Genomic DNA, 15,287 nt, shown 5'->3' with positions numbered 1-15,287 from the left:
AGACGCTCCCCACTCCTAGATGTGATGGCGGCTGGGAAGAGGCGCTCCTCACTTCCTAGATGGGATGGCGGCCGGGCGGAGACGCTCCTCACTTTCCAGACTGGGCAGCCAGGCAGAGGGGCTCCTCACATCCCAGACGATGGGCGGCCAGGCAGAGACACTCCTCACTTCCCAGACGGGGTGGCAGCCGGGCAGAGGCTGCAATCTCGGCACTTTGGGAGGCCAAGGCAGGCGGCTGCTCCTTGCCCTCGGGCCCCGCGGGGCCCGTCCGCTCCTCCAGCCGCTGCCTCCCGGGCGGCGCTCGCCGGCGCGGCGGCCTTGATCTTTTTTTTTTTCCAAGACGGAGTCTCACTCTGTTGCCCTGGCTGGAGTGCAGTGGCATGATCTTGGCTCATTGCAACCTCCGCCTCCCGGGTTGAAGTGATTCTCCTGCCTCAGCCTCCTGAGTAGCTGGGATTACAGGCGCCCGCCTCCATGCCTGGCTAATTTTTGTATTTTTAGTAGAGATGTGGTTTTACCACGTTGGCCAGGCTGGTCTCCAACTCCTGACTTCAAGTGATCTGCCTGCCTTGGCCTCCCAAAGTGCTGGGATTACAGGTGTGAGCCACTGTGTCTGGCCATAATTGTTGGGTATTGATCTTGTACGTTGCAACCTTACTGAATTTATTAGTTCTAGGAGCTTTTTAGTGAAATCCTTAGGATTTTCTCTATGTAAGATCCTGGTGGTTTTTTCTTTTTTCAGATAGGGTCTCACTACCTAATGGCATGGCTAGATTACACGGTAGACATACTGTTAACTTTTCAAAGAAACTAGCAAACTGTTTTCCAAAGTGGTTGTGACATTTTACATTTCCATCAGATGTGTATTTGACCCTGAATTTTTAAAATTGATCTGATCTCTTCCCCTTGATAGGAAAATCTGAATGTTTCCAGTACCCGGAAGTGTGCCATGTCCTAAAGCCTCGTATATACAAAACAGCATTTAATAAAACCTGAGAGGTACTCTGGGAATATAAAGGAAGCATACTGCCGTTTCTTTTTTGAATGGAAGCAGTGGTCAGGAAAGGGCATACCAAGGGTATGTATAAACTCTTGTTAAGCCTAGCTGCTCACCTAAATCTTGGAAGACTTATGTTTACAAAGAATGAATCTATGACAATGAGAAAAAATTTTATTTATGACGATCTTGAGCAGTATAAAACTCAGAAGCTCCACTGAGGTGAAGGAAACATGGACATGATACTAAGCAAAGCCTAGTCTTTTCCATAAAATGAATAAGAAGTACATTTGGTGGAGTTTGAGACCAGCCTGGGCAACACAGTGAGACCCTGTCTCTAAAAGCATTAAAGCATTAATCCTCGCATTTCGATAGGGCTATGTAGCTTTTAAGTAAGCAATGTTAGAATGAGTTGTAGAGTTTTATTTTTGTGAATATAGTGAGTGACAGATGGCAATTACATGAGGATATTTGAACGAAGGTACATAAGCCTAAACAATTTCACCTAGGTAAAATATTGATGTCATAACCAAACTATATGGCCCCGTTTCATAAAGGTTACTATATTCTATAGAGAGTGAAGAGGTGGCCTTTCTATCCCAGCTTACCCTATTCTTGTTATTGTTCAAATTCTCCTGAAGCTTGCATAACTAGCTGCCATCAGGTAAATGCTATTGGCTAGCAGAAGACTGCAGTTCTGTTAATATTAGAACCAGCAGGGGGAACTTGGGAACTTGACATTAAAAATCTAGAAACAGAATTTTAGGATGGGTCTCGTTAGAAACCTGAATTGTTAATGGACTTAAGTAAAAACCATCCCAAAGAATTTGAGCTTTAAGGTGATAACGTCTTTTCAGAGATCATAGCACATGAAGAACCCATGGACACTACACAGACTATGAACAGTTAGCAGAAAAAGATCTCGTGACTAAAGTGGGGATGACAGCAAAAAAAAAAAATTTACAAAAGGAAAAAAGTTGAGAATACAGGAATATTTACAAGATGTTAAAAAATTATTAATCTTCAGCCAAAATGAGGCCCCTTCGCATTCCCAAAACCTTTGCTTTCTTCTCCTTTCGTTCTTGCTCGCGTTTCTTCCGTTGCTCTTCCCTGAGAGGGATAGGTCACACATTAAGCTCTAGGGAGGCTCCAAAACAGATACTTTAAAGCAACTATTGTTGGACTAACACCCAAACTTCCAAGCAATGACATCCAGCATACTTGTGTAAAACAGACTCTTAGAGGGCACTGTGCTCTGCCTAGTGTTTCTAACACCTGTTCGTCATTGTTGTGTTAAAGGGTTAGAAACTGGTATTTTCCTTTTGTTAACTCAGCACTCTAAAATCATGCATGGAGGCCGGGGCGCGATGGCTCATGCCTGAAATCCCAGCACGTTAGGAGGCCAAGGCAGGCAGATCACTTGAGGTCAGGAGTTCGAGACCAGCCTGGCCAAAATGGTGAAACCCCGTCTCTACTAAAAATACAAAAAAGGTAGCCAGGTGTGGTGGTGCATGCCTATAATCACAGCTACTGGGGAGGCTGAGGCAGGAGAATCCCTTGAACCCGGGAGGCGGAGGTTGCAGTGAGCCGAGATCACGCCACTGCACTCCAGACTGGGCGACAGAATGAGACTGTCTCAAAACAAACAAACAAAAATAAATAATAAAATCATGCATGGAATTGGAGTCAGGAGACACCTTGCTGATTGAATCCAACTCTTGTTATTTTACAGTTTGCTTTAGGCCAGATGCAGTGGCTCACACCTATAATCCCAGCATTTTGGGAGGCCAAGGTGGGAGGATCCCTTGTGCCCAGGAGTTCAAGGCCAAAGTAAGCTATGATCATGCCATTGTACTCCAGTCTGGGTGACAAAAAGTAAGACCCTGTCTCTAAGAAAAAAAAAAAAATTTGTTTTAAATGAGAAATGTCTACACCTAGAAATCAAAGTTGACCAGGTGTGGTAGCTCACGCCTGTAATCCCAGCACTTTGGGAGGCCAAGGTGGGTGGATCACCTGAGATCAGCAGTTTGAGACCAGCTTGGCCAAGATGGTAAAACCCCGTCTCTACTAAAAATACAAAAATTAGCTGCACGCGGGGGCGGGAACCTGTAATCCCAGCTACTCGGGAGGCTGAGGCAGCAGTATCACTTGAACCTGGGAGGCAGAGGTTGCAGTGAGCCAAGATCGCACCACCACACTCTAGCCTGGGCATCAGAGCGAGACTCCATCTCAAAAAAAAAAAAAAAAAAAAAAAAAAACCAAGATAAGTTAATATAATCTTGGGCTTTTTCTTTTTTTTTTTTGGTTTGTCTAATCCTCTGAAAGTAGAGCATAATGGCTAACTCAGTAGATCCTGGTTCTAGTTCTATTCCTTTCACTAAACTATGTGATTTTGAGCTTGACCTTTGACTTTGATTTCTTTTTTCTTTTTTGAGACGGAGTTTTGCTCTTGTTGCCCAGGCTGTAGTGCAATGGTGCAATTTCAGCTCGCCACAACCTCCGCCTCCCGGGTTCAAGTGATTCTGCTGCCTCAGCCTCCCGAGTAGCTGGGATTACAGGTATGTGCCACCACGCCCGGCTAATTTTGTATTTTTAGTAGAGATGGGGTTTCTCCATGTCTTCAACTCCTGACATCGTGATCCACCCGCCTTGGCCTCCCAGAGTACTGGGATTACAGGCGTGAGCCACCTTGCCTGGCCAACTTAATAACGGTGAGCAAAGGCCCTGGTGGCAGTCGTGTATAGCCATGAGTCAACTGACAGGTAACCCTGTGTCACGAGGGTCCAAGCAGGGAATCTGGGCCCAACCATGACTTGCTGCAACCCAGGATGAGCTCTGGCTTTAACTTGGTTTTCATGCTGAAGGAAGCCTCTAAGGACCGTCCTGGGTTTTTCCTCTTTATAGGGCCTTGACGCCTTGTAAGCCTGGTTTTCTTAGGAGTGAGGAATTTATGTCTATCTGGATATGTAGGTGCCCTGGGCTGCTGGGCATTGGTATCTGGAGAGATACCCACATGCCCTGTGTTTAGGCAGATGAGTCATGCAAGAGCAGTGCTCTGAATCTGGGTCTTCTTCTGAATCACCTGCAGAGCCTTGGAAACAATGCAGGTGCTTGGGCCTCACCCCAAATCTGCTGATTTGGAGTCCATTACACTGGAACCTAGGCAGATGTACTCAGAAAGTTATATACACGATACCACTTTTTTTTTTTTTTGAGACGGAGTCTCACTCTGTCGCCCAGGCTGGAGTGCAGTGGCGTGATCTCGGCTCACTGTAAGCTCTGCCTCCCAGGTTCCTGCCTCAGTCTCCCGAGTAGCTGGGACTACAGGCGCCCGCCACCACGCCCGGCTAATTTTTTGTATTTTTAGTAGAGATGGGGTTTCAATGCGTTAGCCAGGATGGTCTCGATCTGACCTCGTGATCTGCCCCCCTCGGCCTCCCAAAGTGCTGGGATTACAGGCGTGAGCCACCGTGCCTGGCCCATGATACCACTTTTTTTTTTTTTGAGACGGCGCCTGGCTCTGTCACGCAGGCTAGAGTGCAGTGGCGCGATCTCGGCTCACTGCAAGCTCTGCCTCCTGGGTTCACGCCATTCTCCTGCCTCAGCCTCCCGAGTAGCTGGAACTACAGGCGCCCGCCACCATGCCCAGCTAATTTTTTGTATTTTTAGTAGAGACGGGGTTTCACCGTGTTAGCCAGGATGGTTTCGATCTCCTGACCTCGTGTTCCGCCCACCTCGGCCTCCCAAAGTGCTGGGATTACAGGCGTGAGCCACCGCACACGGCCATAATACCACTTCTAACCTCCTCTTAAAACACCACTATTACTGAGCCCCTATCCCTCAGAGGTGCTGCTTTTGAAATTAAAATAATTATAAAGCTGGATAATTATGTACTTACTTTGTCTGGAGATGGGGTTGTTTGTAAGTTTTCTTGTAGAAGTTAATTCTGTTGACATGTTGATTTAGATAATTATTTTCTTTAGATTGCCCCCATGGTTTTAGCTTTCCTAGTTTAGGACAGAGACAAAGAATTTTAAAAAGATTGTTTGATTTATATTCCCAACTTCATTCTCTTCATCTGTGGGGTTACCTGCTATCAACATTTATACTTTTTTTTTCTTTGAGACAGAATCTCACTCTGTCGCTCAGTTTGGAGTGCAGTGGTGTGATCTGATCTCAGCTCACAGCAACCTCCGCCTCCTGGGCTCAAGTGATCCTCCCAATTTAGACTCATGAGTAGCTGGGACTACATGCACATGCCACCATGCCCGGGTAATTTTTGTATTTTTTAGTAGAGACGGGGTTTCATCATGTTGCCCATGCTGGTCTTGAGCTCCTGTTCTCAAGCAATCTGCCTGCCTTGGCCTCCCAAAGTGCTGGGATTACAGGCATGAGCCACTGTGTCCAACCAATTTGCAATTTTACAAAAAGAACTGGGACCAAATTTCTTGAAGTTTATGTGTTGCTTTTTTTTTTAATTTAAATTTAATTATTATTATTTTTTAAATTTTTTAGACAGAGTCTCGTTCTGTCGCCCAGGCTGGAGTGCAGTGGTGTGGTCTCGGCTCACTGCAAGCTTCACCTCCTGGGTTCACACCATTCTCCCACCTCAGCCTCCCGAGTAGTTGAGACTACAGGCGCCCGCCACCATGCCCAGCTAATTTTGTTTTTGTATTTTTGGTAGAGACGGGGTTTCAATGTGTTAGCCAGGATGGTCTCGATCTCCTGAACTCATGATCCGCCTGCCTTGGCCTCCCAAAGTGCTGGGATTACAGGCGTGAGCCACCGCGCCCAGCCTGTTTTTGAGGCGTGGTCTCACTATGTCACCCAGGCTGGAGTGTAGTGGTGCAATCTCGGCTCACTGCAACCTCTGCCTCCTAGGTTCAAGCGATTGTCCTGCCTCAGCCTCCCAAGTAGCTGGGATTACAGGCGCCGCCACCACGCCAGGCTAATTTTCTTATTTTTTTTCAGAAGAGACGGGGTTTCACCATGTTGGCCAGGCTGATCTCGAACTCCTGACCTCAAGTGATCTGCCCACCTCAGCCTCCCAAAAGTGCTGGGATTACAGGCCAGAGCCACTGCGCCCGGCCGCAGAATTTGTTTATTCTTAAGTTTTTATTTTTTATTTTTATTTTTTAGATGGAGTTTCACTCTTGTTGCCCAGGCTGGAGTGCAGTGGCACGGTCTCGGCTCACTGCAACCTCCACCTAACAGGTTCAAGTGATTCTCCTGTCTCAGCATCCTAAGTATCTGGGATTACAGGTGCCTGCCACCACGCCTGGCTAATTTTTGTATGTTTAGTAGGTGTGAGCCACTGCGTCCCACCAATCTTAAGTATTTTACAGGCCCTGTAGCTCAAAACACTCCCACATACCTTTGTGTGGTTCATAGTTGAGGGGACGAGACAAACTTGCTTTAAGATCAAACACTGGTTTCTTATTGGAGACTGGAGTCTGCGTTGCCTCAGTTGTCAACTTGAATGGGGTAATAACTAAAAACACACCGAAAAAACCCAAGAGCTTAATTAGAAACAAAGACCTGGTAAAGTGTTTATCAAAGTGTTACTTCTCAATCTTAAAAATACACGTTATAGGCTGGGCATGGTGGCCCACACCTGTAATCCCAGCACTTTGGGAGGCCGAGGTGGGCGGATCACGAGGTCAGGAGATCAAGACCATCCTGACCAACATGGTGAAACCCTGTCTCCACAAAAATACAAAAAATTATCTAGAGGTGTGGTGGCTCACACCTGTAATCTCAGCACTTTGAGAGGCCGAGTCGGGTGGATCACCTGAGGTCAGGAGTTCAAGACCAGCCTGACCAACACGGAGAAACCCCATCTCTACTAAAAATACAAAATTAGCCAGGGTGGTGGCACATGCCTGTAATCCCAGCTACTCGGGAGGCTGAGGCAGGAGAATTGCTTGAACCCGGAAGGCGGAGGTTGTGGTGAGCTGAGATTGCGCCATTGCACTCCAGCTTGGGCAACAAGAGCGAAACTTGGTTTAAAAAAAAAAAAAAAAAAAAATTAGCTGGGCGTGGTGGTGCATGCCTGTAGTCCCATGCCGAGTAGGCTGAGGCAGGGGAATTGCTTAAATCCGGGAAGCAGAGGTTGCAGTGAGCCAACATCGTGCCACTGCACTCCAGCCTGGTGACAGAGCAAGACTCCATCTCAGAGAGGGAAAAAAAAAAAATTAGCTAGGTGTGGTGGCACGTGCCTGTAATCCCAGCTACTCGGGAGGCTGAGGTAGGAGAATCACTTGAACCCGGGAGGTGGAGCTTGCAGTGAGCCAAGATTGCGCCATTGCACTCCAGCCTGGGCAACAGGGTGGGACTCCATCTCAAAAAAACAAAAGAAACAAACAAAGAAAAAAAAGAAGCTGGGTGCAGTGGCTCACGACTGTAATCCCAGCACTTTGGGAGGCCGAGGCAGGTGGATCATGAGGTCAAGAGAGCGAGACCATCCTGGCCAACATAGTGAAACTCCGTGTCTACTAAAATACAAAAATTAGCTAGGCGTGGCAGCGTGTGCCCAAAATCCCAGCTACTCAGGAAGCTGAGGCAGGAGAATCCCTTGAACCAGGGAGTCGGAGGTTGCAGCGAGCCGAGATTGCACCACAGCACTCCAGCCTGGCGACAGTGAGACTGTGTCTCAAAAAAAGAAAAAAGTTATAGCTTGAATGTTTGTATCTCCTGCGATCCCAAATTCATATTGAAATCCTAACTGTCAATATGACTGGTGTAAGGAAGTAGGGCCTTTGGGAGGTAAATAGGTCATGAATGGGATTCAGGGCCTTATATAGGGACCCCATAGAATTTTCTCTAGCTCTCTTTCTGCCACATGAGCATACAACAAGAAGTTGGTAGTCTGCTACCTGGAAAACAGCCCTCACCAGAATCATGCTAGTGCCCTGATCTGCCCTCATCCAGCCTCCAGAACTATGAGAAAGAAATTACCGCTGTTTATAAGATACAGTCTTTGGTGCTTTGTTATATAATAGCAGCCGCAAAGGACTAAGACAATCTACATGAATAGTCTGAAATAGATGAAAGTCTGAAATAAGGGTTAAAATGGAGAAAAGGGGAAAACAATAATTGAGGAAAGCTAACCATTGAGATTAATTTCCTTTGCTAAGCAGCTTTGTAAATGTTCTGAATATTTTGTTTTTGTATTTTTAGTAGAGACGGGGTTTCAGTGTGTTAGCCAGGATGGTCTCAATCTCCTGAACTCATGATCCACCTGCCTTGGCCTCCCAAAGTGCTGGGATCCTAGGATCAGCTGGGAGTTTAGAATTCTGTTGAAGGAAATGACGGTAACTTTTCAGCTTATTTCCCTGATAACAGATATGGCTCACACCTGTAATCTCAGCACTTTGGGAGGCTGAGGCAGGAGGATTGTTTAAAGTCAGGAATATTATTAATAAGGGCTCTTATCACTTCAGAATATTAATTTTTGGCTGGGCGCGGTGGCTCATGCCTGTAATCCCAGCACTTTGGCAGGCCGAGGTGAGCGGATCACGAGGTCAGGAGTTCAAGACCAACCTGGCCAATACGGTGACACCCTGTCTCTACCAAAAATACAAAAATTAGCCGGGCGTGGTGGCGGGCACTTGTAGTCCCAGCTACTCGGGAGGCTGAGGCAGGAGAATGGCGTGAACCCAGGAGGCGGAGGTTGCAGTGAGCCAAGATGGTGCCACTGCACTCCAGCCTGGGTGATAGAGTGAGACTCCGTCTCAAAAAAAAAAAAAAAAAAAGAATATGAATTTTTGCACCACGAAGTTAAAAATATCCAGGATGGTGTAGTTTTTTTTAATTTTTTTGAGACGGAGTCTTGCTCTGTCTCCCAGGCTGGAGTACAGTGATGTGATCTCAGCTCAGTGCAACCTCTGCCTCCTGGGTTCAAGTGATTCTCAAGTGAGTAGCTGGGATTACAGGCGCGTGCCACCACGCCCGGCTAATTTTCGTATTTTTAGTAGAGACGAGGTTTTGCCATGTTGGCCAGGTTGGTCTCCATGCCACCATGCCCAGCCTAAGGATGGTGTAGTTTAGTTAGCCTTTTTGCTACAGTTGGCCATCAGTTAATCCTTTCTCTCCCAATCTCTTTTTTTTTTTGAGACAGGGTTTCACTGTGTTGCCCAGGCTGGCTGGAGTGCAGTGGCACAATCTCGGCTCACTGCAACCTCTGCTTCCTGGTTCAAGCGATTCTCCTACCTCAGCCTCTTGAGTAGTTGGGATGATAGGTGCATGCCACCATGCCCGGCTAATTTTTGTATTTTTAGTAGAGTTGGGGTTTCACCATGTTGGCCAGGCTGGTCTTGAAATTCTGACCTCAAGTGATCCACCCACCTCGGCCTCCCTAAGTGCTGGGATTACAGGCAAGAGCCACTGCGTCCGGCCAATCCTTTCTTTTCATAGGGGGAAGCCACAGGTCATTGCCAAATGTGAACCCTTGCCTACATCTGTGAAACAGCAATCAGGATCTAAGACCACTTAGTTAAAAAAAAGCACAAAACCCTGTGTTCAAGCTATCCCACTGTATCAGTATCAAATGCTGACAGGGAGTAGAACAAGGGACTGCCATACACTGCCACTGGAAGCACAGATTGGTACAATTCATTCAGGACAGTAAATGTCTGCATATTTTCCAATCCAGCTGTCCTGCTCCTAGGTCTAGGGAAACTCTTGCACATGTACAGGAGACATGTTTAAGAGTATTCATAGCAACATCATATATAATAATGGAAGCTGGAACCACCCACATGTTCGTGAATAGTAAAATAGATAAACTGACATATACCCACACCACTGAAAAATACTGTGAAAACGAGTCAACATGGTTGAATCTTGAAACATGAAGTCTGTGGTCTGGGATCCTGTTAGTGTCAGAGTCCTCCAGGACCTTTCCGAGGCTGCAACGAATACTGTGCTCATCCTCCGAATCCCTGAGTCCCACAAGGGGCACAGTGCCCTTCCTGGAGGGTCACCATTTTAGGATTAGATGGAGCTCTCAGGCAGATATCTGGTTTTTGCTTATGTCTCTGGCATTTCCCCCACTAGTACACAATTAAAAATACACTATGGTAAAATTTTTGCTTTTGATTATAGAAATGGAAAGGGTTTAAGGAAACAGATACAGGCCGGGCGCAGTGGCTCACGCTTGTAATCCCAGCACTTTGGTAGGCCGAGGCGGGCGGATCACCTGAGGTCAGGAGTTTGAGACCAGCCTGACCAACATGGTGAAACTGTCTCTATTAAAAATACAAAATTAGCCGGGCATGGTGGCATGTGTCTGTAGTCCCAGCTACTCAGGAGGCTGAGGCAGGAGAATTGCTTGAACCTGGGAGGCAGAGGTTGCAGTGAGCCGAGATCCCGCCATTACACTCTAGCCTGGGTGACAAAAGCGAAACTCCATCTCAGAAAAAAACAAACAAACAAAAAAAACAGATATACCTAATCATTTTGGGAAGTTACATGGCTTAAAAATGAAACAGATTTCTTTTGTTTTTTTTTTTTTTTACCAGCAGCAGAATTCCCCGTGATGGTCTTTAATTTGTGTGTCCCAAGCACAGCCTCGCCTTTTGGGGTGCCCCCAGACACGGTCACATGTGCAGACTTTCTGGCTGGAGTCTTGGTCAGTGAACGCTTATGCTCATTATCTTTAGTAGCAGCTGAAAACCTAAATAGGACAGCAGAGTACAAGACATGAGTACTGTGGCAAGAGTAACTTGTGTCTAGCTTATAAATAAAACCACTTGACTATTAGCAAGCAGTGAAAAGGGCCTCAATTAATAATTGTCATAGGAACGAACCTCTTTTGCAGAAGAGACATATTCCTAAAAGGCTAATGCTAAATTAAATCACATATCAACTAACATTATTTGTAAAATATGTTCTTGTCTTTTCTGCTCTCCCTGCCTTGGACAATGATGGTGATGGAGGAATAGGTGTGGAGGCCTCATTATAGTCCAAGAGGCAAGCCAAAAGCTCCCCTTCCTCCTCCTCCTCCTCCTCCTCCAGGTTAGGGGAAGTCACAGGTAGCAGAAGACTGCTATGCTAGGTGAGTGGTGAGAACAGGTCTTGTATGTTCCTAAAAGAATGTCATTCATTTGTGTGGTAGAGAAATAAGCCCATTCTTTACCATTCTTTACATATGGCAAATTGCCACAAATGTATTTGATTGATTGACTGATAGTATTTTTTCTACATTTTAACATCTCTGAAATTGGGATGTGTTTTTACAATTCATAAGATGTCAATAGTTAATTGGTAGTGTTTTTTCTTGAGACAGGTTCTGGCTCTATTACCCAGGCTGGCATGCAGTGGTATGATCTCAGCTTGCTATAACCTCTGCCTCCTAGGCTCAAGCCATCCTCCTGCCTCAGCCTCCCGAGTGGCTGGGACTATGGGTATGTGCCACTGCGCCTGGCTAATTTTTTTTTTTTTTTTTTTTTTTGAGATGGAGTTTTGCTCGGTCGCCCAGGCTGGAGTGCAATGGTGCGATGTTGGGTCACTGCAACCTCTGCCTCCCAGGTTCAAGCGATTCTACTGCCTCAGCCTCCCCAGTAGCTATGATTACAGGCATGCGCCACCATGCCCGGCTAATTTTGTATTTTTAGTAGAGATGGGGTTTCACCATGTTGGTCAGGCTGGTCTCAAACTCCTGATCTCAGGTGATCCGCCTGCCTCAGTCTCTCAAAGTGCTGGGATTACAAGCATGAGCCACCGCGCCCAGCTAATTTTTATATTTTTAGTAGAGATGGGGTTTTGCCATGTTGGCCAGGCTGCTCTCAAACTCCTGGGCTTCAACCATTCACCCATTTGGAGACGGAGTCTCGCTATGTCGCCCAGGCTGGAGGGCAGTGGTGCGATCTCAGCTAACTGCAAGCTCCGCCTCCTGGGTTAACACCATTCTCCTGCCTCAGCCTCCCAAGTAGCTGGGACTATAGGCGCCCGCCACTACGCCCGGCTATTTTTTTTGTATTTTTAGTAGAGACGGGGTTTCACTGTGTTAGCCAGGATGGTCTCGATCTCCTGACCTCATGATCCGCCCGTCTCGGCCTCCCAAAGTGCTGGGATTACAGGCGTGAGCCACCGCGCCTGGCTGATTTGTCTTTCTTTCTTTCTTCTTTTTTTGGAGATGGAGTCTCGCACTGTTACCCAGGCTGCAGTGCAGTGGCGTGATCTCGGCTCACTGCAACCTCTGGCTCCCAGGTTCAAGCAATTCTTCTTGCCTCAGCCTCCCAAGTAGCTGGAATTACAGGCGACTGCCACCATGCCTGGCTAATTGTTTTGTATTTTTAGCAGAGACGGGGTTTCACTATGTTGGCCAGGCTGGTCTTGAACTCCTGACCTCGTGATCTGCCCGCCTCGGCCTCCCAAAGTGCTAGGATTACAGGTGTGAGCCACCATGCCTGGTCTAATTTGTCTTAATGGTTCATAAAATAACAATGAGCCTTCATTCAATTAATGGTATCTTATGGTGTGAAGTCCAGACCCACCTGTACATTTCAGTGAAGCAAGGGCCAAACCTCTGACCATGGTGTTCTTTTTTTTTTAGACAATGTTTCGCTCTTGTTGCCCAGGCTGGAGTGCAATGGTATGATCTTGGCTCACTGAAACCTCCACCTCCTGGGTTCACGCGATTCTCTTGCCTCAGCCTCCCAAGTAGCTGGGATTACAGGTGCACACCACCATGCCCAGATAATTTTGTATTTTTAGTACAGACGAGGTTTCACCATGTTGGTCATGGCTGGTCTTGAACTCCTGACCTCAGGTGATCCACCCAACTCGGGCTCCCAAGGTGCTGGGATTACAGGTGTGAGCCACCGCACCTGGACCATGGTGTTCTTAAATGAAATCAGAACCACCAATTACAGGTACTTCATATTCCAAGCTAATTCAATAAATAGAATTCTAAACTTAAAGCCATTTTTAAGTTTGAAAAACTACATTGGAGGAACAGGAAAAAAAAAATCTGATTAAAACATGGGCAGGCTGGGTGAGATGGTTCACACCTATAATCCCAGTACTTTGGGAGGCCAAGGCAGGAAGATCGCTTCATCCTGGGAAGTCAAGGCTGCAGTGAGCCATTACTGTGTCACTGAATTCTAGCCTGGGTGACAGAGCAAGATCCTGTCTCAAAAATAGAATAGGCCAGGTGTGGTGGTTCACACCTGTAATCCCAGCACTTTGGGAGGGCAAGGCAGGTGGATCACTTGAGGCCAGGATTTCTAGACCAGCCTGGTCAGCATGGTGAAACACTACCTCTACTAAAAATACAAAACAAACAAACAAAAAAAAGAATTAACTGAATGTAGTGGCACACACCTGTAGTCCCAGCTACTCAGGAGGCTGAGGCATGAGAATTGCTTGAACCCAGGAGATGGAGGTCGTAGTGAGCCGAGATTGCGCCACCACACTCCAGCCTGGGTGACAGAGCAATACTGTCTCAAAAAAAAAAAAAAAAAAAAAAAAGAATAAAATAAAAAATACAATTATGTTAGATAATTGCACATGTTGGAGAAGGGCTGTCATGCACCAGTTCTATTAGATACTGCAAATGTCTTTAAAAAAGTAGAAAATAAAGTTTTGATATTAGAAGTAATCTGAAGACTTTGATCTATGGGGAAAGTCCCACTGAAGGTGACTTTGATGTCAGAAAAGTTACAAGTAAACAAAAACAGGGATCAATGGGGCATGAGATAGTGATGATACTGTAGTTCCCACTAGGTTACGATATTGGTATTTGAGGAAGAGTTAATTTTTCAGTTCACTGTAATGAGATACTTTCTGTAAGCATTTAGCTTCACTTCTATATTTAAGTCAATGGAAAAGTTTCTCCTTAGGCATCTTGGCAGTCATATATTAATAAAATGAAGAATATCTGACTGGGCATGGTGGTTTATGCCTGTATTCTTAGTACTTTGGGAGGCTGAGGCAGGAGGATCGCTTGAGGCCAGGAGTTCAAGACCATCTTGGGCAACATAGCAAGACCTCATCTCTACAAAACAGAAACAAAAGCAAAAGAACACATATTTCAGAGTGCTGTCAGCAAGATGGCTGACTAGAGATGCCTGGCATTCATCCCCCCACAAGAAAGGACAAAGGCAACAAATAAACAGCTAAGATTTTTAGAATTTTATTTTTGGAGACAGCTTTCACTATGTTGCCCAGGCTGGCCTCAAACTTCTGGACTCAAATGATCCTCCTGCCTCAGCCTCCTGAGTAGCTGGGATTACAGGTGGGAGCCACCACAGAAAAAAGCTAAGATTTGACTGGAGTGTCAATGGGAAAGCACTGGAGTGCATCAGGGGAGTGGAGATGCACCTGTGGTGAATGGAAGCCCAGGAGGGCCTCCAGAGGCATCTAGCCTCTGCAGCCCTGTCTCCTCTACCAGAATCAGATCTGCCCGCAGTCAGGAGGGGATTCCTGTTGTGAAGAAACACTAAACTGAAGATCCCCACCAGCCCCCATTGCTACTGCAAGCACCTACAGTCCTTACTACGGGAGAATACCCAAGTCTAATAATACCCAAGTCTAATAATACCCAAGTCTCCCAGTTTGGAGAGTTGCCAGGAATTCCTGCAGCTACACTGCCCTGGATTAGGAGCACAAGGTGTGCATTATCTACCCGCCACTAGCTTCTGCAGCACAGAACCATCTTCAGACCAGAGCCACTTCTGGAGTGCACTGTGCTCTGCTGGGGGCCAGTGGCCACTGCATGTATCCATTACTAGGGCTCAATATTCATTCTACCAAGCCCACAGGGGCTTGGTAGGGGTGGCTGCAACACCATGACCCCAGTTGCTTGGAGCCTAGGCAGATGTGCTCAAGGCGAACCTGCCCTTGAGCTGGCCAAACTGCCACATGCCCTCCCTGGAACGGGAGAGACTCTCAAGCAGCTGACATACTCTGATGCTGGCTGAGTGGCTATGTGCCTGTGGCTAGGGCCTGAGAAACAGCCATGAGATGCCTCACCCCTGCAGAGAAGCCCCTGACCTGCTCAACGCCCCTGTACTCCTAGTAAGGGCCTGAGAGGCAGCGTTGTAAGCAGCCTCTGGTAGACATGCCCGAAGGCCAGCCAAGCAGCCATGCAACTGCATACCAGGGCTGAGAAACAGCCCCACGGTCCCAAACCTGGCAAAGCCACCATCACCACCAACTCTCTTAGCCTAGGCTACTGAGAGACTTACAAATGCCACTAAAATGCATTACAGCTGAAGAAACTACACAGAGACTATATTCCTGTACCCACTTAGAACCAAGGCCAACACACCCCACTTAAATGACA

General features: G+C 46.7%; 1 protein-coding gene across 23 annotated transcripts in view; it reads right to left on the bottom strand.

The window, feature by feature from the left end:
* Positions 1–1,153: 1,153 nt before the first annotated feature.
* NUSAP1 (nucleolar and spindle associated protein 1) overlaps positions 1,154–15,287 on the bottom strand; it is a 48,166-nt gene continuing 34,032 nt past the window's right edge. For 12 of the 23 annotated variants that reach the window (XM_006720559.4, XM_005254428.4, NM_016359.5 and 9 more), the window contains exons 8-11: positions 10,516–10,673; positions 6,372–6,488; positions 4,896–5,004; positions 1,154–2,107 (exon numbers count right to left, since the gene is read on the bottom strand). In XM_006720559.4, the coding sequence (XP_006720622.1) occupies positions 2,014–2,107; positions 4,896–5,004; positions 6,372–6,488; positions 10,516–10,673 (478 nt within the window). In that variant the 3' untranslated portion in view covers positions 1,154–2,013. The remainder of the gene's footprint in view (positions 2,108–4,895; positions 5,005–6,371; positions 6,489–10,515; positions 10,674–15,287) is intronic. The other 11 variants (XM_006720562.4, XM_005254431.4, XM_047432641.1 and 8 more) reach the window with 1 other exon arrangement.

Source organism: Homo sapiens, chromosome 15, assembly GCF_000001405.40.
Source record: "Homo sapiens chromosome 15, GRCh38.p14 Primary Assembly".
NCBI classification, from domain to species: Eukaryota; Metazoa; Chordata; class Mammalia; order Primates; family Hominidae; genus Homo; species Homo sapiens.
This window is presented reverse-complemented; position numbering and strand designations above follow the sequence as displayed.